The 23,010-nt window shown below is 40.7% G+C and overlaps 1 protein-coding gene across 52 annotated transcripts in view, besides 4 other annotated features; it reads left to right on the top strand.

The window, feature by feature from the left end:
• Window positions 281-23,010, top strand: part of EDA2R (ectodysplasin A2 receptor) — a 43,633-nt gene continuing 20,903 nt past the window's right edge. For 33 of the 52 annotated variants that reach the window (NR_136726.2, NM_001324202.2, XM_047442328.1 and 30 more), the window contains exon 1: window positions 281-349. The gene's annotated coding sequence lies outside the window, so the exon portion shown is untranslated. Of the gene's footprint in view, window positions 350-471; window positions 556-23,010 lie in introns of those variants that run through there. The other 19 variants (NR_136727.2, XM_017029708.2, NM_001324199.2 and 16 more) reach the window with 1 other exon arrangement.
• Window positions 652-1,021: an enhancer, noted in NCBI's record as "active region_29724". NCBI's record gives its function as "activates an Ori minimal core promoter by ATAC-STARR-seq in GM12878 lymphoblastoid cells {active_cell/tissue: GM12878}" and the evidence as "EXISTENCE:reporter gene assay evidence [ECO:0000049][PMID:35858748]".
• Window positions 1,272-1,411: an enhancer, noted in NCBI's record as "active region_29723". NCBI's record gives its function as "activates an Ori minimal core promoter by ATAC-STARR-seq in GM12878 lymphoblastoid cells {active_cell/tissue: GM12878}" and the evidence as "EXISTENCE:reporter gene assay evidence [ECO:0000049][PMID:35858748]".
• Window positions 3,028-4,227: an enhancer, noted in NCBI's record as "CDK7 strongly-dependent group 2 enhancer chrX:65855165-65856364 (GRCh37/hg19 assembly coordinates)". NCBI's record gives its function as "activates an origin of replication core promoter dependent on BRD2, BRD4, P300/CBP, MED14 and CDK7 cofactors, with strong dependence on CDK7, by STARR-seq in HCT116 cells {active_cell/tissue: HCT116}" and the evidence as "EXISTENCE:reporter gene assay evidence [ECO:0000049][PMID:35650434]".
• Window positions 13,999-14,048: an enhancer, noted in NCBI's record as "active region_29722". NCBI's record gives its function as "activates an Ori minimal core promoter by ATAC-STARR-seq in GM12878 lymphoblastoid cells {active_cell/tissue: GM12878}" and the evidence as "EXISTENCE:reporter gene assay evidence [ECO:0000049][PMID:35858748]".

Below are 23,010 nucleotides of genomic sequence, written 5' to 3'. Positions count from 1 at the left end.
CTTTGATGAGCTGAGCTGCATTCAGCTGTGAAAGAGACAACTTGATGCTTTCTCTGGACCCCACTCCCTGGCCCTCTACTCTCTGGCCCCCGCTTCAGTCCCAGGAGATTTGCAGCTCCTGCCATACCAGTGGCTGGGTCACTGTTCTTCAGCCTCACATTGTTCCTCTCAAAGGCAGTTTCTTTTCGTAGCCACGCCTAGGCACTCAAACAGTCCAATAGCTGCTCTAGGAACTTCACGGGGGCGGAAGAGGTAAGCTTACCGTGAAAGGAGGGTTTGGGCTGTTGTTGCTACACGTGGATGTGAAATGAGTCAAGCGGAACTTTGATTACAAGGAATTTCATATACTGTGAGTGTGTATGCAGGCTGGGGGCTGAGGGGCGGGGGCTGAGGGGCGGGGCTGATGGGCGGGTCTGAGGGGCGGGGGCTGAGGGGCGCGGGGTGAAGGGCGGGGGGTGACGGGAGGGGGCTGGGTGAGATGTGTGCTCTGCGCTGAGGTGGATTTGTACCGGAGTCCCATTTGGGAGCAAGAGCCATCTACTCGTCCGTTACCGGGTGAGTGTGGGAACACCCCCTGGTGTGGCAAGGCGGCTGGGACCTGCGGCATCTAGGTGCAGAAGTACAGAATCAGGTCAGGATGATCCTGCTAGGGTACCGCAAAATCAGAACAATTGGGAAGGCGCCCTGTGGCTGGCTGTCAGTCCATCCATTTGTGTCCGGAGAGCGCTTTCTGAGGTATCAGGGATCTGGGCTGACATCTCTAGGATCTTGGCGAGCCATTTCCTGTAGGCTCTTACTGGACCTGCATTGCCTCTGAGAACATGCCTGGACGTGTCCAACAACCTTGAGCATCTAGGGTTGGGAGATAAAGAAGAGAAGGAGGCTGGGTGTTAGTGAAGGCGGGGACAGTGGATCAGACTTGTGGAGCATCCTGAGGAAAGCAGAACTGCTAACCCGCGTGGCTTGAGGGCAAGTCAGGGCTTGTGTAAAGAGCATGCTGGCTCTGTTTGGGGGCTTTCAATCCACCCCCTCACCCGCCGAGCTTGGTTTCACTTGATCTCTCATTCCTGGAAGCTGAGCCCCGGGCAGTGTTATTTTGATCCTGCCTCACTCCAAACACTGGCCAAGACCCAGCAAGCTGCAAGAACTGGGGGACAAGAAGGGACCCGCCAGAGACCAGGCTAGGAAAACAGAGACTTCAGGGTCTGACTTAGACAGGTGTTGGCAGCGTTGGCCAATGTCATGCTGGGTGGCTGGGGCAGGAGAGTTTGGAACATCTTCCCTAGATAACTCCTCTGTTCTTTTCTTCACCCCAACATACCTTCAACTCCGCAGACTCACTGAGCTAGTCTGTGCCACCATGTGTGAGACAGTGAGATGTCTGTCTGAGACCTAGGCTGTGCCCACTGGGGCCTGACAGTCTCATCCTGGATATAAAAACACGGATAAATATTAATATAACACAAGAGAGGTTTTAAAAGTTAAATAAAAATGCTTAGAGGCTGCCAAGTAAGGATTGTATCAAGTTGAACCATACGAAATCAGAAAAAGGTTTTTTTTTATTCTTTTTTTGAAATTGTAACGCCTTTCAGGGCTCCAGAGCTAGACTATTTGAGTTCAGATCCCATGCTCACCATTTAACTTGTGTTACCATGGACAAATAAAATTACTTCTCCCTTTCTGAGTTTCTGTTAACTTCAGGCTAAAGTGGATAATAATAGCACCCACCTCATGGGGCTGTTGTGAGGATTAGATGAGATAATCCATATAAAATACTTGCACACACTTAGCACAGTGGCTGGCCCAAAATAAACACTCAATAAATATTAACTATTATTATTTAAGATAGACTGTGGCACACAGATAAGATTTCAACAGGTGGAGATAGAGAAGACAGTTTAAGCAGAGAAAATAGGAACAACTGCTTTAAGGCAGGGAAGCTCAGGGCATATGAAAAGAACACCAGCTGAGCTGGATTTTAGAGTACGATTAGCGGAAAATTGGAAGTTAAACTTGCCAAGGCAGATTGGTGGTAAACTGCAAAAGACAGTGGATGCTAGAGTTTTGATTTGATTTAGCAGACAATGGAAAGCCATTGAAAGTTTTTGAGCTTAAAAAAAACGTCAGATCCTCTGCTTTAGGAAGAGTAATCTGGTAAAAGGTTAGTCAGCTGGATTGGAATAGGAAAACACAAGAGGGGGATAAACTAGGGGCAGAGAGGGAACAAGGCCCTGGAACTGAGGTCGTGGCTGTGGGAATAGAAAGGAGGTGATGAATTTAACAAGCCATCACAAAAGTTGAATCTACAGAACTTTGTAGTTGATACATTATATGGAATTGAAAAAGGAAGAATGAGAAAATCAGAATCTTTTCGGGTTGGCTTAGACCTTACAAGGTTGTGCATTCCCATCTCACTTCTGTGGATAACGCAATAGAAAGAGTATGTACCTTCTGAGCTAGACACAGCTATTTTCAAGTCCTGGGTCTGCTATTTATCTGCTGTTTGTGATCCTAAGCATATTATGTACTTGACATTCCCAACTAGGATCGGTATTTCCACAAGACATTTAGAAGTATGTGGGGTGTGTGTGTGTGTGTGTGTGTGTGTGTTTTACACACAGTCTGAGGTACTACTGCATTTAATGCCAAACAGATGCAACAAATAATTGTTCCTCCCACCCACCATGCCAGTAGTAAGCCCAATGAGAAGTAGTCAAATTCTTTGAGCCTCAGCTTTCTAACCTGAAAAAGAGGGATAACAGTACTCACATCATGGTGTTATTGGGAGGATTAAAAGATATATTTCCTGCCAAGGGTCTAGCACAGTGCCTGACAAGTAGAATTTCATGAATTGTAATTTTCCTTTACCCTAATGGATTCCACATTAAAACATCCTTGCCAGTTTCTGCTTGAACACTTCTAGAGGGAGGTTCCTTACTGCTTCCTGAGAGAGCCCACTGTCTTCAGGGAAAGCCTTGGACTGTTAAAAGTTCTTCCTTTTGCTAAGCTGAACTTAGTTTTCCTAAAGCTTGTACCTGGATATCCTAGTCATTCTCCCTGAGGCCACCTAGAGCAGTCTGTTCTTTTTCTTCCATGACAGTTTTTCAGAGATCTGAAGACCAGAGATCAGATCCCCCTGCATCTTCTGCTCCCAGGTCAAACAGCTCAGATAATTGTATCATTTCTTATCTGGCATGGTATCAAGTCAAATATGACTCTGTGGTTTTGAAGTATATAAATTGGGGTATGAGTATGTCTTCATAGTGATGAGGAATACTGCAAAAGGAACAGGATGGGTAAATGTGACAAAATTCCTTGTAATTTATTATTTTTTAAATTATTTTTTTCTGGTCAGGAAGGGTGGCTCATTCCTGTAATCCCAGCACTTTAGGAGGCATAGGCGAGAGGAGGGCTTGAGCCCAGGAGTTCAAGATTAGCCTGGGAAACATGGAGAGACCCTGTCTATATAAATTTTTTTAAATAGCTGGGCACTGGGTGCTGGGCACTTGTAGTGCCCGCTACTTGGGAGGCTGAGGCAGGAGAATCTCCTGAGCCCAGGAGTTTGAGGCTGCAGTGAGCTATGATCATGCCACTACACTCCAGCCTGGGCAACAAAGTGAGACCCTATCTCAAAAAAAAATTAAAGAATATAAATCATTTTTTCCACTATGTGCTAAATACTTTCAAATCCATCATCCCACTGATTCCTTATCCCCAAATGAGGGAATTGCAGATTTATTTATATATATTATACAGGTGGCCAAACAGGCCTAGAGAAAATGAAACTTGCTAGAGATCATTTAGTTAGTAAGCATCTGTGCCAGAACTGCAAGACACATTTTTCTTACTCCAAGTTCAGTATGGCTTTTCATTTTCCACAGCTGTTAGGGTTTAAGGTGATAGATAGCTGGGCAATTACGCCAACTCTGGCACTAAAGAATGAGTCAAAAAAAAGAGGGATCCTCCAATTACCTTATACCAGTTATTCCCTCTTTGAGAGAATTCCTTTCTTTAGATGTCTTCTTGACCTTCTCCACTTGAATGCTTCCTGCAGAGAGTGAGTCATCTTTTGGAGCCATTCCTCAGTGCTGAAGCTTCATATTGAAGCAGAAGCTGCTTTTCACTGCTTTCTTTCTAGAAACTAGCTCCACCCGTGTATTCTCTTCTTGGGAGCTTAACAGGAAAGATATGGGTAAGTTTCACCATCAGTATGTAAAATACGACTACTATTATTTTGTGAACATAGATATGAGGATGGCTATACTTTGTCTTGGATTAGAGTTTACTGTATATATTTTCTATGTTCCCCACCAGACTGCAATCTCCTAAATTTGGAGAATATGGTTTATTCACCTCTGTTTTTTTCTCTTGCCACTAAGTTCTAATAGAATGCCTAGCATAGAAAGTACTCATCAAGTGGTTGCTGAGTGACCAGAAATTAATTCTCCCTATCTTGGGATGACAACAGTTATTATATCTTCCAAACACCACCAAAAGACATCATGCTATTCTCAAAAATAAAGGATTTTCCATGTAATATATGGTGGAATCAGACACTGAGATGTCCTACTTCCAGGAGATTGTTAGTCACCGTTGTGGTTAAGCCAAAAAGAGTGGGCATTACTTCTTCCCTTCTACGATCCACCTCTCCATGACCCAGCCCACCCTTTGGAATTGTTTCTGTTGAGGATAAAATGAGCCATTATTGGGCTGTGGGAGTTAGGAAAAAGAAGCTGGAGCCTTGGTAGTATAGTCACTGAGTAATTGGTCCTAAAGCTGGGCCAACTCCTTTCTTCGTATATGGGAAGTAGAGAAGCCACTGGGCCCTGAATATGCAGACTTGAATTCTACTTTTAGCTCTACCATTGACCACTGTGTGACTTTGGGAAAATTCTATCCCTTTTCTGAGCATTAGTTTCCTCATCTTAGATCATCAGGGAATGGGGTTAAGTTGTCCTGAATAATACTTTTAGGATCCCATGACTATATGTTTTCAATTATCTGATAGCTTGAAGTTTTAACTGGTTGCCAAAGAGGAGGAAAAAAAAAACAAATGATGGAATGTGCTGTCTTATGAGTACTGAGGTGCCTGTTACTAAAGGACTTCAAGTAGAGCTGGATGGTATTTCTTTACTGGGCAAAAGGCCACTGGGACTAAGATTAATTTTAAACCTCCCTTTGACTCTAAGATTGTCAGAGTCTAAAAATGGTCTCAAAGAATGTGCATTTACATATGAGGTCATAGGCTTCTTGTTATCAGTCTCACCTTCCCTCCACAACCTCACAAAGTACTATACCTTTCTCCCTTTTCTTGGACATCTAAAGAAAAAATGAAGAAATATTTTGGCAGCAGCATTTCATTTTGTACAGACATGCCTCATTCTATAGTTCTCATTGTATTCTTCCAGTCCTTTGTTAAGGATGTGGACCTGGGTTGGGCTTGTAAATGCCCACTGGTTTGTATCTCTGCTCCTTTAGGATATTTTATTCCCAGGCCTATGAGGATGGGATGGAGTACTTGATTGCCATGGGAAAAAAAAAGAGACTGTTCTTGTTGACATCTTCAGATACAGCTATTCCAGATTGCTTGGTAAATGGGACAGGGTGGAGGGAGTGTGGGGCAAGACCAACAAACTTAATAGAAATCAGAAATTGGAGTACTTGACTGAGTTTTATCCAGTCCCAATCCTGCAAATAAATCATACCATGAATTCAATACCCAACTGGGACAACTCAGCCAAAAGCCTTCTTGGGAAGTCAGCTTATCTCCCCTTCCAGTACTGCTGGTTGAGTAACTAATTTTTTTATTATACCGTAATTTTATGGAATCTTGTGGTGATTGGTACATGACCAGTGACTCACTTTGGCTAGGATAACAGCAGAGCAAAGCAAGAGGTTTCAGGTGTTAGCTGAGTGCCGGTCTGGCTTGGGGCTTGTCTCCAATACCCTTTGTTCCCCAGCTCTGGGTGGGATAGTAACAACAATCATAGCAACTCCTCACATACGTAGCACAATCTGGAGTTTCCACAGCACTCTCACATACATTATCTCATTTTACCCTTGAACATAATCCAGGGTAGTTTCTGTGCTTTTGCTCCCACTTGGGAAGAGTATTTTAGCAGTCAGTAGAAGAACGTTTTCCCTCAAAATCAGCCTAGAGTTTGCTGTTCTTAATTTCATCCTATTTCTTTTATAATGGTATCTTTGTATTCTTGGCTACACAGTCTCTTTTCCCCATTCGTTTAACAATTATTTTTCAGCAGTTGCCAAACACTAACCAAATATTTATATTTTTAATTTACAGTCTGCTAAGTTGTATTTGTCTTTTGAGGTTTGTGCTTTGTTTGTTGTCTTTGTGCACGTACGCATGTTTTGAAGGCAAAACAATTGACTCATATGGTTAGCATTTACTTTTGGCCAAGTGGAAGTAGCCCAGTTCAGTTGGTTATTAATTTTGTCTGTACAATGACAACAGCTTTTAGTAAGGATTTTTTTTTCTTTTTCTTCCCCAGCTGGGGCTTTACCTCTTGCTCTGTGCGCTAGAATAAAAGACAAAGGAGAATAGATGAGACTTCTTTAATTTTGCGCAGGTTCATTCTCCTCTGTTGATATACTATTCCTGACATTGCTGGGCCAGATGTTGCTATCACTAACAGTTAAAATTCTTCAGCCACTTTGGAAATGTTGAAAGTAGCCCATTAAAAACTGTAGTACCCACCTGTGGTCTCTACATTATGTCTATTCCAGGCACAGATTTTAGTATACTTAAACACAAAAAGATAATTTACTTTTATCACATGCCCATGAAATAAAATAAAAATGACACATCCTCAGTCCTGGCCTCCTCCACGTCCCAGTATCAATAGCTGACACATTACTCATCCCTTACTTCTTAAAGCTTTGTCCTATTCTACTCTATCAAGGTTCTTTTTTTTTTTTTTCTTCTCTGGCTTCCCCTTCTTCGTTGCTGTCATGTATTCCTCCTCTTCCAGCTTCAAGTATGAGTGACCCTCAATGTTTGGTTCTTCTTCCTCTTTCTTCTTCCTTCCTTCTTCCTTCTTTCTTCCTTCTTCCCTTCTCCTCCTCCTCACCCTCCTCCTCCTCCTCCTCCTGCTTCTTCTTCTTCTTCTTTGTTTGAGAATCTGTCACCCAGGCTGCAGTACAGTGGCACAATCTCGGCTCACTGCAACCTCTGCCTCCAGGGTTCAAGCGATTCTCCTGCCTCAGCCTCCCGAGTAGCTGGGACTACAGGCATGCACCACCACGCCTGGCTAATTTTTGTACTTTTAGTAGATACAGTTTTTCGCCATGTTGGCCAGACTGGTCTTGAAGTCCTGACCTCAAGTGATCCACCTGCCTCGACCTCCCAAAGTGCTGGGATTACCGGCAGGAGCCACTGCATCCAGCCATTCTTCTTTACCCATGATTTAACTTCTGCCATGATTTACTTCGGCCAGTGGTTATTCCAACCCCAGAGGTTTTTATTTAATTAATCTAGAGCGTAGGATTTTTTTTTCAGTGCTCCATATGATTCTGATGTGCAGCCATAAGCAAGAACTGTTATTCTGGTGTTTTTATGCATTTGACACATCTCCAACTTCAACTTATATTTTACATATTGTATATGCTTGTTGGGCATGACCACTGAAATGTTCCTCTGTCCCCTTCAACTTCTCTATACTGAAAATAATTGAAAAACAGTGCATTTTCTTTTCTTTTACCAAGCTGCGCTCCTTTCACGCTTCTCATGGCACTTAGATTCTTCTGGTTTCCCAGGCAGAAACTCCCAGAATCTCTAACTCTGGTCATTCTGTTTGTCTTCACTTTGTAAGGTTTGTATCTCCCACCATCATTCCTCTCTGTTCCTATTGTAACCACCTTTGACCTGGCCCTTGTCTCCTAAAGCTTGGGCAGTAACCCTATCAAACCATTATTTAAAATGCACTCAGGTTAACATTAATAAAATGCTTTTTTGCCCATCCTGAAATATCACTGAAGAAAAAATTTCAGTGAAGACTGGGAGGACCTCCATTCTCTATTTTAGAGTTCAATACTGCCTTGAAAAGTGTGCCAGACTCATAGCTTCTAAATGACCTTTGGGTTCTGCCTTGCTTTTTGCTAGCCAAATAAAGATAGTTGTATATTTTCCCTCTGAGCCTCAGTATTTTTTAATCTATTAATTAAAAAAAATTCCATAGGTTATTGGGATACAGGTGGTATTTGGTTGCATGGATATGTTATTTAGTGGTGTTTTGTGAGATTTTGGTGCATCCATCACCTGAGCAGTATACACTGCACACTATTTGTAGTATTTTATCCCTCGCCCCCCTTCACTGCCTTCCCTCCAAGTCCCCAAAGTCCATTGTGTCATTCTTATGCCTTTGCATCCTCATAGCTTAGCTCCCACATATCAGTGGGAACATACAGTGTTTGGTTTTCCATTCATGAGTTACTTCACTAAGAATAATAGTCTCGAATCTCATCAATATATATGTGTATATATACATATACACACATGTGTGTGTATATGTATATATACACACAAACGTGTGTTTTTATGTACATACACACATACGTGTATATATGTATGTATACACACATACGTGTATATATGTACGTATATACACACATGTACATGTGTGTGTATATATGTATATATGCATACACATACGTGTGTGTATATATATATACGTGTGTTTGTGTGTGTGTGTGTGTGTGTGTGTGTGTATATATATATATGATTCTTTTTAGTTCTTTAAGGAATATCCACACTGTTTTCCATAGCAGCTGTACTAGTTTACATTTCCACCAGCAGTGTAGAAGTGTTGCCTGTTCACGACATCCACACCAACATCTACTGTTTTTATTTATTTTTGGATTATGGCCATTTTTGCAAGAGTGAGGAGGTATTAAATTGTGGTTTTGATTTGCATTTCCCCAATCATTAGAGATGTTGAGCATTTTTTCATATGTTTGTTGGCCATTTGTATATCTTTTTTGAAAATTGTCTATTTATGTCCTTAGCCCACGTTTTGGTGGGATTGTTTGATTTTTCTACCTGATTTTTTTGAGTTCATTGTGGATTCTGGATATTAGTCCTTTGTCAGATGTATATATTGTGCAGATTTTCTCCCACCCTGTGGTTTGTCTGTTTACTCTGCTGACTGATTCTTTTGCCATGCAAAAGCTCTTTAGTTTAATTAGGTCCCGGCTATTTATCTTTGTTTTTATTGCATTTGCTTTTGGGTTCTTGGTCATGAAATCATTGCCTAAGCCAATGTCTCGAAGGGTTTTTTCAATGTTATCTTCTAGAACTTTTATAGATTCGGGTCTTAGATTTAAGTCCTTAATCTATCTTGAATTGATTTGTGTGTAATGTGAGAGATGACATTCCAGTTTCGTTCTCCTACATGTGGCTTGCTAATTATCCCAGCACCATTTGTTGAAAATGGTGTCCTTTTCCCACTTTATGTTTTTGTTTGCTTTGTCAAAGATCAGTTGGCTGCAAGTATTTGGGGTTATTTCTGGGTTTTTGATTTCGTTCCATTGGTCTATGTGCCTATTTATATACCAGTACCATGCTGTTTTGGTGACTATGGCCTTATAGTATAGTTTGAAATCAGGTAGTGTGATGCCTCCAGATTTGTTCTTTTTGCATAGTCTTGTTTTGGTTATGTGGGCTCTTTTTTGGTTCCACATGAATTTTAGATTTTTTTTTTGTAATTCTGTGAAGAATGATGGTGGTATTTTGATGTGAATTGTGTTGAATTTCTAGATTGCTTTTGGCAGTATGGTCATTTTCACAATATTGTTTCTACCCATCCATGAGCATGGGATGTTTCCATTTGTTTGTATCGTCTATGATTTCTTTCAGCACTGTTGTGTAGTTTTCCTTGTAGAGGTTTTTTGCGTCCATGGTTAGATATATTCCTAAGTATTTAATTATTTTTTGCAACTGTTGTAAAAGGGGTTGAGTTGTTGATTTGATTCTCCACTTTGTCACTGTTGGTGTATAGGAGAGCTACTGAATTCTGTACTTTAGTCTTGTATCTGGAAACTTCGTTGAGTTATTTTATCAGTTCTAGGAGCTTTCTGAGGGAGTCTTTAGGGTTTCCAAGGTAAATGATCATATGGTCAGCAAATAGTGACAGTTTGACTTCCTCTTTACCAGTTTGGATGCCCTTTATTTCTTTCTCTTGCCTGGTTGCTCTGGCGAGGACTTCCAGTACTATGTTGAAGAGGAGTGGTGAGAGTGGGCATGCTTGTCTTATTCCAGTCCTCAGAGGGAATGCTTTTAACTTTTCCCCATTCAGTATTATGTTGGCTATGGGTTTGTCATAGATGGCTTTCATTACATTGAGGTATGTCTGTTGTATGCTGGTTTTGTTGAGAGTTTTAATCATAAAGGGATGCTAGACTTTGTTGAATGCTTTTTCTTCATCTAATGAGATGATCATGTGATTTTTGTTTTAAATTCTGTTTATGGGGTATATCACATTTATTGCCTTGTGTATGTTAAACCATCCCTGCGTCCCTGGTATGAAACCCACTTGATCATGGTGGATTATCTTTTTGATATGTTGTTGAATTCAGTTAGCTAGTATTGTGTTAGGATTTTAGTATCTATGTTCATCAGGGATATTAGTCTGTAGTTTTCTGTTTTGGTTATGTCCTTTCCTGGTTTAGGTATTAGGGTGATGCTGGCTTCATAGAATGAATTAGGGTGGCTTCCCTCTTTCTCTATCTTGTGGAATAGTGCCAAAAGGATTGGTACCAATTGTTCTTTGAATGTCTTCTAGAAATCAGTTGTGAATCCATCTGATCCTGGATTTTTTTTTTTTTTTGGTAATGTTTTAATTACCATTTCAGTATCTCTGCCTGTTATTGGTCTGTTCAGGATATATAATTCTTCCTGATTTAAGCTGGGGGGGTGTATTTTTCCAGGAATTTATCCATCTCTTCTAGGTTTTCTACTTTATGTGTGTAATGATGTTCATAGTAGCCTGAAATGACCTTTTGTATTTCAGTGGTGTCAGTCCTAATGTCTCCCATTTTGTTTCTTAATGAGGTTATTTGGATTTTCTGACTTCTTTTCTTGGTTAATCTTGCTAATGGTCTATCAATTTTATTTGTCTTTTCAAAGAACCAGCTTTTTGTTTTATTTATCTTTCGTGTGTTTTTTTTTGTTGTTGTTTCAATTTCATTTAGTTCTGCTCTGATCTTGGTTATTTCCTTTCTTCTGCTGGGTTTGGGTTTGGTTTGTTCTTGTTTCTCTAGTTCCTTGAGGCACAACCTTAGAATGTCAGTTTGTGCTCTTTTAGTCATTTCCATATAGGTGTTTAAGGCTATGAACTTTCCTCTTAGCACCACCTTTGCTGTGTCCTTTTGATAGGTTGTGTTGTTATTGTCATTCAGTTCTAAGAATTTTTTTAATTTCCATCTTGATTTTGTATTTGACCCAGTGATCATTCAGGAGCAGGTTATATAATTTCCATGTATCTGCATGGTTTTGAAGGTTCCTTTTTGAGTTGATTTCCAGTTTTATTCCATTTTGGTCTGACAGAGTGCTTGATATAATTTCAGTTTTCTTAAATTTATGGAGGCTCATTTTGAGCCCTATCATACGGCCTATCTTGGAGAAAGTTCCATGCACTGTTGAATAGGATGTGTATTCTGCGGTTGTTGGTTGAAATGTTCTGTATATATCTGTTAATTCCATTTATTCCACGGTATAGGTTAGATCTATTGTTTCTTTGTTGACTTTGTCTCTTGATGACCTGTCTAGTGCTGTCAGTAGAGTATTGAACTCCACCACTATTATTGTGTTGCTGTCTATCTCTGCTGTCAGTAGAATATTGAAGTTCGCCACTATTATTGTGTTGCTGTCTGTCTCACTTCTTAGGTCTGTTAGTAATTGTTTTATAAATTTGGGAGCTCTGGTATTATTTGCATATATGTTTAGGATTGTGATATTTTCCTGTTGGACAAGGACTTGTATGATGATATAATGTCCCTCTTTGTCTCTTTTAAGTGTTGTTGCTTTAAAGTTTGTTTTGTCTGATATAAGAATAGTTACCTCTGCTCACTTTTGGTGTCCATTTGCATGAAATGCCTTTTTCCATCCCTTTTCTTTAAGGTTATGTGAGTCCTTATGTGTTGGGTGATTGTCCTGAAGGCAGCAGATAATTTGTTGGTGAGTTTTTATCCTTTCTGCAGTTCTGTATTTCTTAAGTGGAGCATTTAGGCCATTTACATTCAATGTTAGTATTGAGATGTGAGGTACCATTGCATTCATTGTGCTATTTGTTGCCTGTGTATCTTGCTTTTTTGTTATTTTTAAATTTTGTTTTTGTTTGATAGGTCCTGTGTGATTTATGCTTTAAAGAGGTTCTATTTTTATGTGTTTCCAGAATTTGTTTCAAGATTTAGAGCTCCTTTTAGCAGTTCTTGTAGTGGTGGTTTGGTAGTGGTGAATTCTCTCAGCATTTGTTTGTCTGAAGAAGACTGTATCTTTCCTTCATATATGATGCTTACTTTCAGTGGATACAAAATTCCTGGCTGATAGTTGTATATTTTTAGGAGGCTGAATATAGGGCCCAAATTTCTACCAGCTTGTAGGGTTTCTGCTGAGAAATTTGCTGTTAATCTGATGGGTTTTCCTTGGTGGGTTACCTGGTGCTTTTACACTTTCCCTCCCCTCCCCTCCCCTCTCCTCTCCTCCTGTCCCCTGTCCTCCTCTCCCCTCCCCTCCCCTCCCCTTCCCTCCTCTTCCTTTCCTTTCCAGTCTCACAGATCTTAAGATTCTTTCCTTTGTGTTAACTTTAGATAACCTGAAGACAATGTGCCTAGGCAATGATTTTTTTTGAGATGAATTTCCCAGGTGTTCTTTGTGCTTCTTGTATTTGGATGTCTAGATCTCTACCAAGGCCAGGGAAGTTTTTCTGTTATTGCCACAAATATGTTTTCCAAAATTTTAGATTTCTCTTCTTCCTCAGAAACACTGATTATTCTTAGGTTTCATTGTTTAATATAATCCCAGACTTCTTGGAGTCTTTGTTCATATTTTCTTATTCTGTTTTTTCTTTGTCTTTGTTGGATTGGGTTAATTTGAAGACCTTGTCTTTGAGTCGTGAATTTCTTTCTTCTATTTGTTCAATTCTATTGCTGAACTTTCCAGAGCATTTTGCATTTCTAAAAGTTTGTCCATTGTTTCCTGAAGTTTTTATTGTTTTTTCTTTATGGTATCTATTTCCTTGAATATTTCTCCCTTCACTTCTTGTATCATTTTTTAGATTTCCTTGCATTGGGCTTCACCTTTCTCTGTTGCCTCCCTGATTCGCTTAATAACTAATCTCCTGAATTCTTTTTCAGGTAAATCAGAGATTTTATCTTGGTTTGGATCCATTGCTGGTGAGCTAGTGTGATTTTTGGGGGGTGTTAAAGAGCCTTGTTTTTTCATATTACCAGAGTTGTTTTTTTGGTTCTTTCTCATTTGCGTAGGCTCTGTCAGTGGGAAGGTCTAGGGCTGAAGGCTGTTGTTCAGATTCTTTTGTCCCATGGGGTGTTCCCTTGATGTAGTACTCTCCCCCTTTACCTATGGATGTGGCTTCCTGTGAGCCAAGCAGCAGTGATTTTTATATCTCTTCTGAGTCTAGCCACCCACCAAGTCTATCCGGCTTTGGGCTGGTACTGGGGGTTGTCTGCACAGAGTCCTGTGATGTGAACCATCTATTGGTCTATCAGCTGTAGATACCAGCACCTGTTCCGGTGGAGGTGTCAAGGGATGAAATGTTCTCTGTGACAGTTCTTAGCTTTGGTGGTTTAATGTTCTATTTTTGTGGTGGTTGGCCTCCTGCCAGGAGGTGGTGCTTTTCAGAGAGCATCAGCTTTGGTAGTATGGAGAGGAACCAGTAGTACACGGGGCCCTAGAACTCCCAAGAGTATATGCCCTTTGTCTTCAGCTACCATGGTGGGTAGGGAAGGCCCATCAGGTGGGGGTAGAGCTAAGCATGTCTGAGCTCAGACTCTCCTTGGATAGGTCTTGCTGTGGCTGCTGTGTGGGTGGGGGTGAGGTTCCCAGATCCATGGAGTTGTGTACCTAGGAGGATTATGGCTGCTTCTGCTGAGTCATGCAGGTGGTCAGGGAAGTGGGTCAAAGCTGGCAGTCACAGGCCTCACCCAGCTCCCATGCAATCCAAAGGGCCAGTCTCACTCCCACTGTGCTCCCATAACAGTCCCAAGTCTGTTTCCAGGCAATGGGTGAGTAGGGCTTGAGAACCTGCCCCAGGTTACCCACCTCCCAGCTGTGAAATAAAAGGGCTTTGGTTCTTCCCACTCCTTTAGAGTCTCCACACCAGATTCATGCCCTACCCCAAGTTCTGGCCAGGATGCTTCTCTTCTGGTTCAAATTGTTACAAAGTTCAGCTGGAGACTTCCTTTTCCCCGTGGCATTTTCCCCTGTGCCTCTGGCGACCCTTCTGAAGGTTCCCTGTGGTTCCAGGCCTGCTTGGGGACCCAGCAAACTCCCGGGGCTTTTCCCGCTGCTTCCTCTACCCCTGTATTTTGCTCAGCTCTCTAAATTGACTCAGCTCCAGGTAAAGTCAGAAACTTCTCCTGCAAATTAGACTTTCCCCAGTGTGTTTCCCCAGTGTGTTAAGTGTTTCCCCAGTGTGGGTGTGTGTTAAGGAATGGAGGATCTCCCTTTCCCACTTCTGCTGTTGGAGTGCTCAAAGTATTTGGAGTGTCTCCTGGGTCCTGCAGGAGCAGTCCACTTCCTAAGAGTGTCTGTAGGTCCTCTCGAGATCCCTGGTTTGTTCTTGCAGTCGTCCTGGAGCTAAAATGCACGATGCAAACCTCCTCACACTGCTCTGTCCATCTGAGTTGGAATTGCAATCTAGTCCTGCCTCCCGTCTGCCATGATGATCCCCCAGCTCTACTTCTTTACTGAGATCTTGAGCAAGATCTCAGATCTGTCTGTTCCTTCCTCATCATGTGATCTTCTTCTTTAATGTATTTATTCATTTATTTATTTGAGACAGAGTCTTGCTCTGTTGCCCAGGCTGGAGTGCAGTGGCACAATCTTGGTTTACAGCAAACTCAGCCTCCTGGGTTCAAGCAATTCTTGTACCTCAGTCTCCCAAGTAGATGGAATTACAGGTGCATGCAACCACACCTAGCTCAATTTTGTATTTTTAGTAGAATTGAGGTTTCATCTTGTTGGCTAGGCTGGTCTTGAACTCCTGACCTCATGTGATCTACCCATCTAGGCCTCTGAAAGGGCCGGTATTCCAGGCGGGAGCCACTGCACCTGCCCAAATTTATTAATTTTTGATAACAATCCCTAGCTTCCTCCTAGGGATGTGATGGTGATCTGTTGAGCTAATCGATGTAAAATCCTTTATAAACTATGAAACCTTTTACTCAGACAGGAGAGTATTCCCAGTATTCTGTAGATTTTCACCATTTTATCATTCAACAAATATTTGTTTAATGCCTACTGTGTGCCAGGCACTATTGTAAGCACTGATGATGAAGTAGCAAACACAATACGTACCATGGCCTCATAGCATTTACATTCTAACTGGGGAAGAAAAAGCAATAAAGTACATAAGATTTATGATATGTCATAAGGTCATATGTGCTATGGAAAAGAATAAAACTGGAAACGGGGATAGGAATTCTGGAAAGAAGGTGAAAATTTGAGAGAGTGGTCAGGGAAGCCTGACTAAGAAGACTGTATATGAACAAAGAACTGAAGAAGATGAGGGAAGTAGCCATGCAGGTATCTGGGGAAGAACATTCCTGCTTGAGGGAACAGCAGATGTGAAGGCCTTAAGATGAAGGCATTTCTGGTTAGTTTGAAGTTCAACAAGGAGGCCAGCATGGGTGGAGTGAAGACAATAAGGAAAAGAGTAGTAGAACTTAAGGTCAATAAATAATGGGGGAAATTGAGGTAGGCGTATCATCTAAGGTCTCTATTGGCCATTATAAGAACTTAATTTTTTAAAATATGAGCTCTTTATTATATGCCATACATCACTGTGTATATTTTATGTTTTTACATACCCATTCATTTTTTAAGTTATATCCAAAACTGTGTAGGACTTATGTGATATTATGAGTGAAAGAGGGAGCCATCAATGGCTTTTGAGGCTGGAAATGACATGATCTAACATGTTTTATCCCCTTTATCTTTATTTTCTATTCTCCCTAGAAAAAAATGGATAGACCTTGGGTTTCTCCCTCAACAGATTCTCTCTGAATATGGGGGAGAGATACAGAAAAACCTTTTTTTCTGACTGCATTTTATTTTCAGGTGAAACAGACAAGGTCAGAACTAAAAGAAAAGAGCCCTTAAAACTGTGATTTTCAACATTGACTGCACATGAGAATCACTTGGTGAACTGTAAAATGTAGCGTGCTCATGCCACATTTTTGACTAACTACAACAGAATCTTAGGGGAGGGACCCAGGTGTCACTATTTTTTGGCACTCCCAAGGTGCAACCAAGACTGAGAACCACTGGTCTAAGAGATTAGCCAAACCAACTCCCTCGTGGTATGAATGGAGAACTTGATTCCAGCATTGGGAAGGGATATTCTCCTGATGGCAGAGCTGGGACTAGGACCATTCACTATGCTGAGCTAAAACAGGAAATGCAAACTTTACAAATAGTGGGGCAGAAGGAAGATATGATGTTTGATAGTTTGGAAGGAGGTTATAAACAAGATAAACCTTGGATAGAAGTGGCCTTGGGTCAGTTCAGAAAAGGGAAAGGCTGAGTGCCAACACCAAAAGGTAAAGCAACATTTGAATTACAGGCCAGGCATCTGGAAATGATGGCACTGTACAGTTTAGAAGCTTGATTTTCAAGAAAGCAGTGTTCTCAAGGCTACGTTGAGCAACTTCTTTGATTCTGTCTTGTGCATGTGGGTGGATAGATGGGCTCGCAGTAGAGGAATGGGCAAGGCATGGAGACCATCTGCTGTCTTCTTCATCGTTTTTAATCCCACACCTCCTGCACTGTCCAGGCAAAGCAAATATCCTGAAGTACTGAGTTCTTAATTTAGACTTGTCCTTCTTTCCTGCCTACCCATACTACATAGAGAGAGCATGTTTCACCCCACAGGCATGTGTGCAAGTTGAGAAGAGCAGCAGCCACAAGCTGCAGCAAGGAGCAGCTGCACCCCCAGCAGCCTGGGTACCTCACATCCAGCAGAAACTTGGCCAACATCAATTATTCAGGGCATGATGAGCTAATTTGGGGATTACTATTGATGTCAGCTGTATTGTTTCTCCTCTTCCCTGTCTGCTTGCATTCTTAATCGTCTACATTATTTTTTGAGGAATCAGGACAGGGAGATGGGTGGGAAGAGCAGCCACATGACAGACAGGCAAAATAAGGGAATAATTCTAGTCATATTGCCACTTGTTGGCCCTTGTAAACACAATCAAGGTATATACAACACATACTTGGATAAGTTTGGGTGAGAAGTTGGATGAATCAAATTATATTTGGAGGCCTGTGTAAAAATATTCATAGCAGCTTTAACATTTTTTGGGGGGCTAACTTAAGCAATATCCTATTGGAATAATAAATTCAAAGTATTAAATAAAGCTAAAGAACCATCTTTTAAAATGAGATATAATTCACATACTATAAGATTTACCTTTTTAAAGTGTATAATTCACTAGTTTTAGCATATTCACAAAGTCACACGACCGTCACCACTGTCTAATTCCAGGGCATTTTCATGACCCTAGAAAGAAACATACCTATTCAGCAGTCACTTCCCATTTCCCTTTCTCCCCAGGCCCTGATATCCACTAAAGCTAGTTTATGATTGATTGCCTATTCTGGACATTTCATGTAAATAGAATCATACAACATTTGTCCTTTTGTGTCTAGCTTCTTTTATTTAGCATAATGTTTTCAACGTTCATTCATGTTATTGCACATGTTAAGCACATCATTCTTTTCTCTGACTGAATAATTTTCATTGTATGGATAAACCACATTTTGTTTACCATTTATCAGTTGATGAACATGTGGATTTTCCCCACTTTTTGGCTATTATAAATAATGCTGCTAGGAACATTTGTTTACAGGTTTTTGTATGAACACATGTTTTCAATTCTTTTGGGTATTTACACTTAGGAGTGAAATTGCTGGGTCATGTTGTAACATGATGTTTAACATTTTGAGGAACTGCAAAATTAATTTCCAAAGGGGCTGCATCATTTTGTATTCTCGCCAGCAATACACAAGGGTTCCAGTTTCTCCACATCCTTCTCCCCCAGGCTGGAGTGCAATGGCACGATCTCGGCTCACTGCAACCTCTGCCTCCCGGGTTCAAGCAATTCTCCTGCCTCAGCCTCCCAAGTAGCTGGGATTACAGGTGCCTGCCACCATCCCCGGCTAATTTTTGTATTTTTAGTAGATTCAGGGTTTCACCATATTGGCCAGGCTAGTCTTGAACTCTTGACCTCAGGTGATCCACCTGCCTCGGCCTCCCAAAGTGCTGGGATTACAGGCGTGAGCCACCGTGCCTGGCCGGCTATTTTTTTTTTTTTTTTTTTTTTTTGGTAGTGGATATAAAGTGCTGTTTTATTGTGGTTTTCATTTTCATTCCCTTTGTTGCTGATAACACCGACCATCTTTTCATGTGTTTATGGGCCATTTGTAAGTCTTAGAGTGATATCTATTCAAATTCTCTACTCATTTTTAAATTATCTATCTTTTTTTGAGTTGCAAGAGTTTTCTATATATTTAGATACAAGTCTCTTATCAGATATGTGATATGAAAATTTTTGTGTCCTATTATGTGGATTGTCTTTTCACTTTCTTGATGGTGTCCTTTGAAGCACAAACATTTTTAATTTTTAAATTTTGTTGACATGTCATTGTTCTGTTTTTCTCTCTTGTTGCTTGTGCTTTTGTTGTTATATCTAAGCAACTACTTCCTAATCCAGTGTCACAAAAATTTACACCTATATTTTCTTATAAGAAAAACATTAATTACAGAATTATTATGTTTTCTTGTAAGAAAACTTTTATAAGAGTTTTATAGTTTTAACTCTTACATTTGGGGATTTAGTCTATTGTGAGTTAATTTTGTATATGATATGAGGTAGGGGTCCGATTTGATTCTTTTGCATGTGGATATCCAGTTTCCCCAACACCCTTCTTTGAAAAGATTTTTTTTCTCATTGAATTTTCTTGGCATTCTTTAAAAAATCCATTGACCATAGTATAGCAACTCAATTTATAATGGCCTCAAATTAAAAGCAGTCCAATGTTTGCCAAGAAAAATATATAAATTGTGGTATATCCATACAATAGGATACTACACAACAATAGTAATTAACAAATGTTGCTACACAAAACATAATGGATAACTATCACAGACATTATAGTTATCAAGAGAAACCAGAAACAGAAGAGCGCATCTTGTATGATTCAAATTTATGTGAATTTCAAGGACAGGTATAACTAATTGTAGTGATAGAAGCCAGTGCTGTAATTATCTGGGGAGGAGTCGATATTGACTGGGAAGGGGCGTGAGGGAGCCTGCTGGGGTAATAGAAAAGTTCTGTGTATTTATTTGGGTGGTGTTTACATGGGCATGTACACAGTAAAAATTTATTAATTTATTTAATCTTTATGCTCCTTACTATGTATATGTTGTACTGCAATCAGAAACAGACAAAAAATCCCAGCATGTTACCCACATGAATTTTTAGAGCACTTCCACATTACCTCATCTGTGTAACTTCTGAGTTACACAGATCAGATATTCTCTGGGCAAGTTGGGAAGTTGGAGGAAGTATTTCAGGGTGTAGCTGACAAACAGTACAACTGAGTGGGTGATGCGCTTTAGCAGAATCAGAACCTCATCATGTGTTATACTCCATGGGATTGAGACAAGAGGCATCTGCCACTTCCCTTCCTCTCCCCAACCCTCAGTAATGTAAAGAGAACACAACCCCATGTCAGAGTTGGGGTGAAAAAAATGTTCTTGAGCAGCCATAACCTTAGGTTGTGGAGGTGAGAGGGACTGTTCTGTGGAAAATCATGTGCTATTTCATAAAGTCCATAATAACATCCTCACTTATTTGCAAATCTGATTTTATTTCTTTTTCACTTCCATTTCAAAGGCAATTGTCTCGGAAAAGTTTCCAAACGTTTGTTGACCAAGTTAATCCTATACAGAAATGCCTTGATGAAAAAAATCCAGCAAACACTTAGAACAATGTTTCTTTTAGCCAAGGTGGCTTAGGCACTGAGGGTATCTTGGAGAATCTTTTCCTTAAGCATCAGGTCACTGGTGGTTGCGATTAATGAGGAGGAAACTGCTATAGTGGCATCCATCTTAAACATGGCCTTCATGCTCCAGCTGAAATGGTCAATGAAGAAGCTTGGGTGCCTTTCCTTTTTCTTCCCCACACATCCCAAAAATGACAAATGTGCACTCCTTTTACTATAAACCTCACTCTTCTGAAGAGGAAAGAAGAAAGGGAACCTGCTAATTACCAAACGTCTCATATGTATCAAGCCCTATACTTGGTCCCTTAATATGTATTATTGCATTTAATTTTCTAAATTACTGTGCAGTATATTATTTAAACATCCATTTTGCAGATGAAAAAACTGATGCTGACAAAGGTAAAACTATTTGTTTGAGGATGCAGAATTAAAATTAAAACTCAAGTCTACATGTCCCTAACTAAGAGCTTTGCTCTTTTTTTGATGGATGTGAGGTTACTACTATTGTTTGGAAAGTCATTATCTTAAAGAGAAATGATCTATGTTGCTAGATTCATATGCATAGTTAACCATAGTCCAGGGAATGTAGCATGTTGATAAGCTAACAAATAGTAAGCACTGTTGAGGTACACACTCTGTGCCAGGTGCAGGGCTAGGCACTGGGCATGCAGTGGTCTCTACTCTTGGGAACTTTATAGGTCTGTATATATTGCCAACTTAGCCAGAAGTTTAGAGGATTCAGCCACATCCTTTGTGATACTTTGGAAGAGTGTCTAGCTGCAGTATGGAATACCTCAGAGTAACTATAATTTTCTGAAAACATAATTATTCTTTCTTATTTTTTCTTTTAAAAGGCGGTTACATATGCTACAGGAAACTGTTGATTACAGGGAAAAATTCATATAAGGTCTGACTTTCTCCCTAGGTAATGACATTTAACCCTTATTAGGTAGTTTTACACATACGCCCTGACCTCTTCAAAAGAGTCCAGAATCTATAATTTTGTTCTCTTTAATAAAGTCAATTTGTTAAGCGTCGAATGAAAGATAATTTAATTTGTATGCTTTGAATAAATAGTATGAGAAAAAAAGAGGGAAGGCTGGGCAAGGTGCCTCACGCCTTTAATCCCAGCACTTTGGGAGGCCGAGGCGGGTGGATCACCTGAGGTCAGGAGTTCGAGACCAGCCTGACCAATATGATGAAACCCTGTCTATACTAAAAATACAAAAATTTGCTGGGCATGGTGGCATGCTCCTGTAATCCCAGCTACTCGGGAGGCTGAGGCAGGAAAATCACTTGAACCCAGGAGGCAGAGGTTGCAGTGAGCCAAGACTGTACCATTGCACTGCAACAAGAGCAAAACTCCATCAAGGAAGGAAGGAAGGAGAGAGAGAGAGAAAGAAAGGAGGAAAGGAAGGAAGGAAAGAAGGAAGGAAGGAAGGGAGGGAGGGAGGGAAAAAAGAGGGGAGAGAAAGTCCCTCTGCTCAATTTGGCACCAAGCCTGCCTTGCCTAGACAGAGGTTTCAAAGCCATGGTTAGAGAGACATGTTGGGGTTTAGGACACATGATGTTTATTAGGGGGGTGGAGCTCTAGAAACCAAATGAAATAGGATGTCTCAGACCCTCAAATGCCAGCAGCAGTTGTCATGGAGATTTTAAACGCCTATGTTGGGAACTTAGCTCAAAAAGAGGGCTACTTCTTGGTTCCTGCCAATGTTTTTCTGTTTTGTGGGCAAAAAGGGATATGAGAAAGTTGTCCAGAGCAGTTTCCTGGCCCTGTTACTGTGGTGCTTAACTTCCTGGTCATGAAGGCTATGAGAATACTGAAGTTTTCTGTTCTCAAGGAGAAGAGTGCATGGCAAGGGGAGGGAAGCATGCCTACTGAGGCCAACACCATGGGCCAGCAATCAAATCAGCACAGAAGACAGTATGTTTATCTTATGCAAGCATGGATCTTGTAGCCCACTTTCCTTTGAATGAAGGAATGGGAAAGAATGGCCCAGTTGATGATGAAAAAAAGGTGCACTTATGGAATGCCATTTAGAATGACTTAACCTGTCGCTTTTGGGGAACTTTGAGTGGAGGAGTGGTGGCCTCTCAAGGTACACATGTACACTCTCGTCTCTTCTGACTAAGAGTACACATTTAGGACTTTGGCACTTTTAGAAACCACTTGAAATTCACCCTAGTATGAAGTCATGAGTAAGTAAAGAACCTCATGCTACCTTTCTCTTTGAGTAGGATAAGCCCCATTTATGAATTACTTTAGCCCCTTCATTAAAATTCCTCTTTGTAGAAGACAACCTTTCTGCATACTTAACTCTGTCTTATTTTGTATAGCTCTTTAGAATGGTTTGATGGACCTTAGCTCCTTTAACCCTCCCAAGAGCTATATACAATAGGTGAAGAACATTCTATCCCTTTTTCTTAGATTAAGTAACCGAGGCCAGAAAAGATAAAGTGATCCATCCCAGATTGTAGATTGAAAGGGTAAGAGCCAGGCTTGGTGAACAGCCATCCCACTTCAATGCTAGCTCTACTGCTATATGCATCTGTATTCCAAGAACTATTATCTGAGTAATGTTTCCCTATCTGTGCACCTTTGTGCACCAAAATATGTCTACATTCTGGGTTATTCTCCCCTCCCATTCTGCCTAAGACAGAAGCTATGGCAGGTATTGGTCCTCAGAGGTACTGAGGCCACTGTTGGCAAAGAGAAACAATGTTTCAGCTTTTTCAGTTAT

The sequence above is a fragment of the Homo sapiens genome, chromosome X, assembly GCF_000001405.40.
Source record: "Homo sapiens chromosome X, GRCh38.p14 Primary Assembly".
In the NCBI taxonomy this organism is placed as follows: Eukaryota; Metazoa; Chordata; class Mammalia; order Primates; family Hominidae; genus Homo; species Homo sapiens.
Note: the sequence above shows the minus strand (reverse complement) of the source record. Positions and strands in the feature narration are given on the sequence as shown.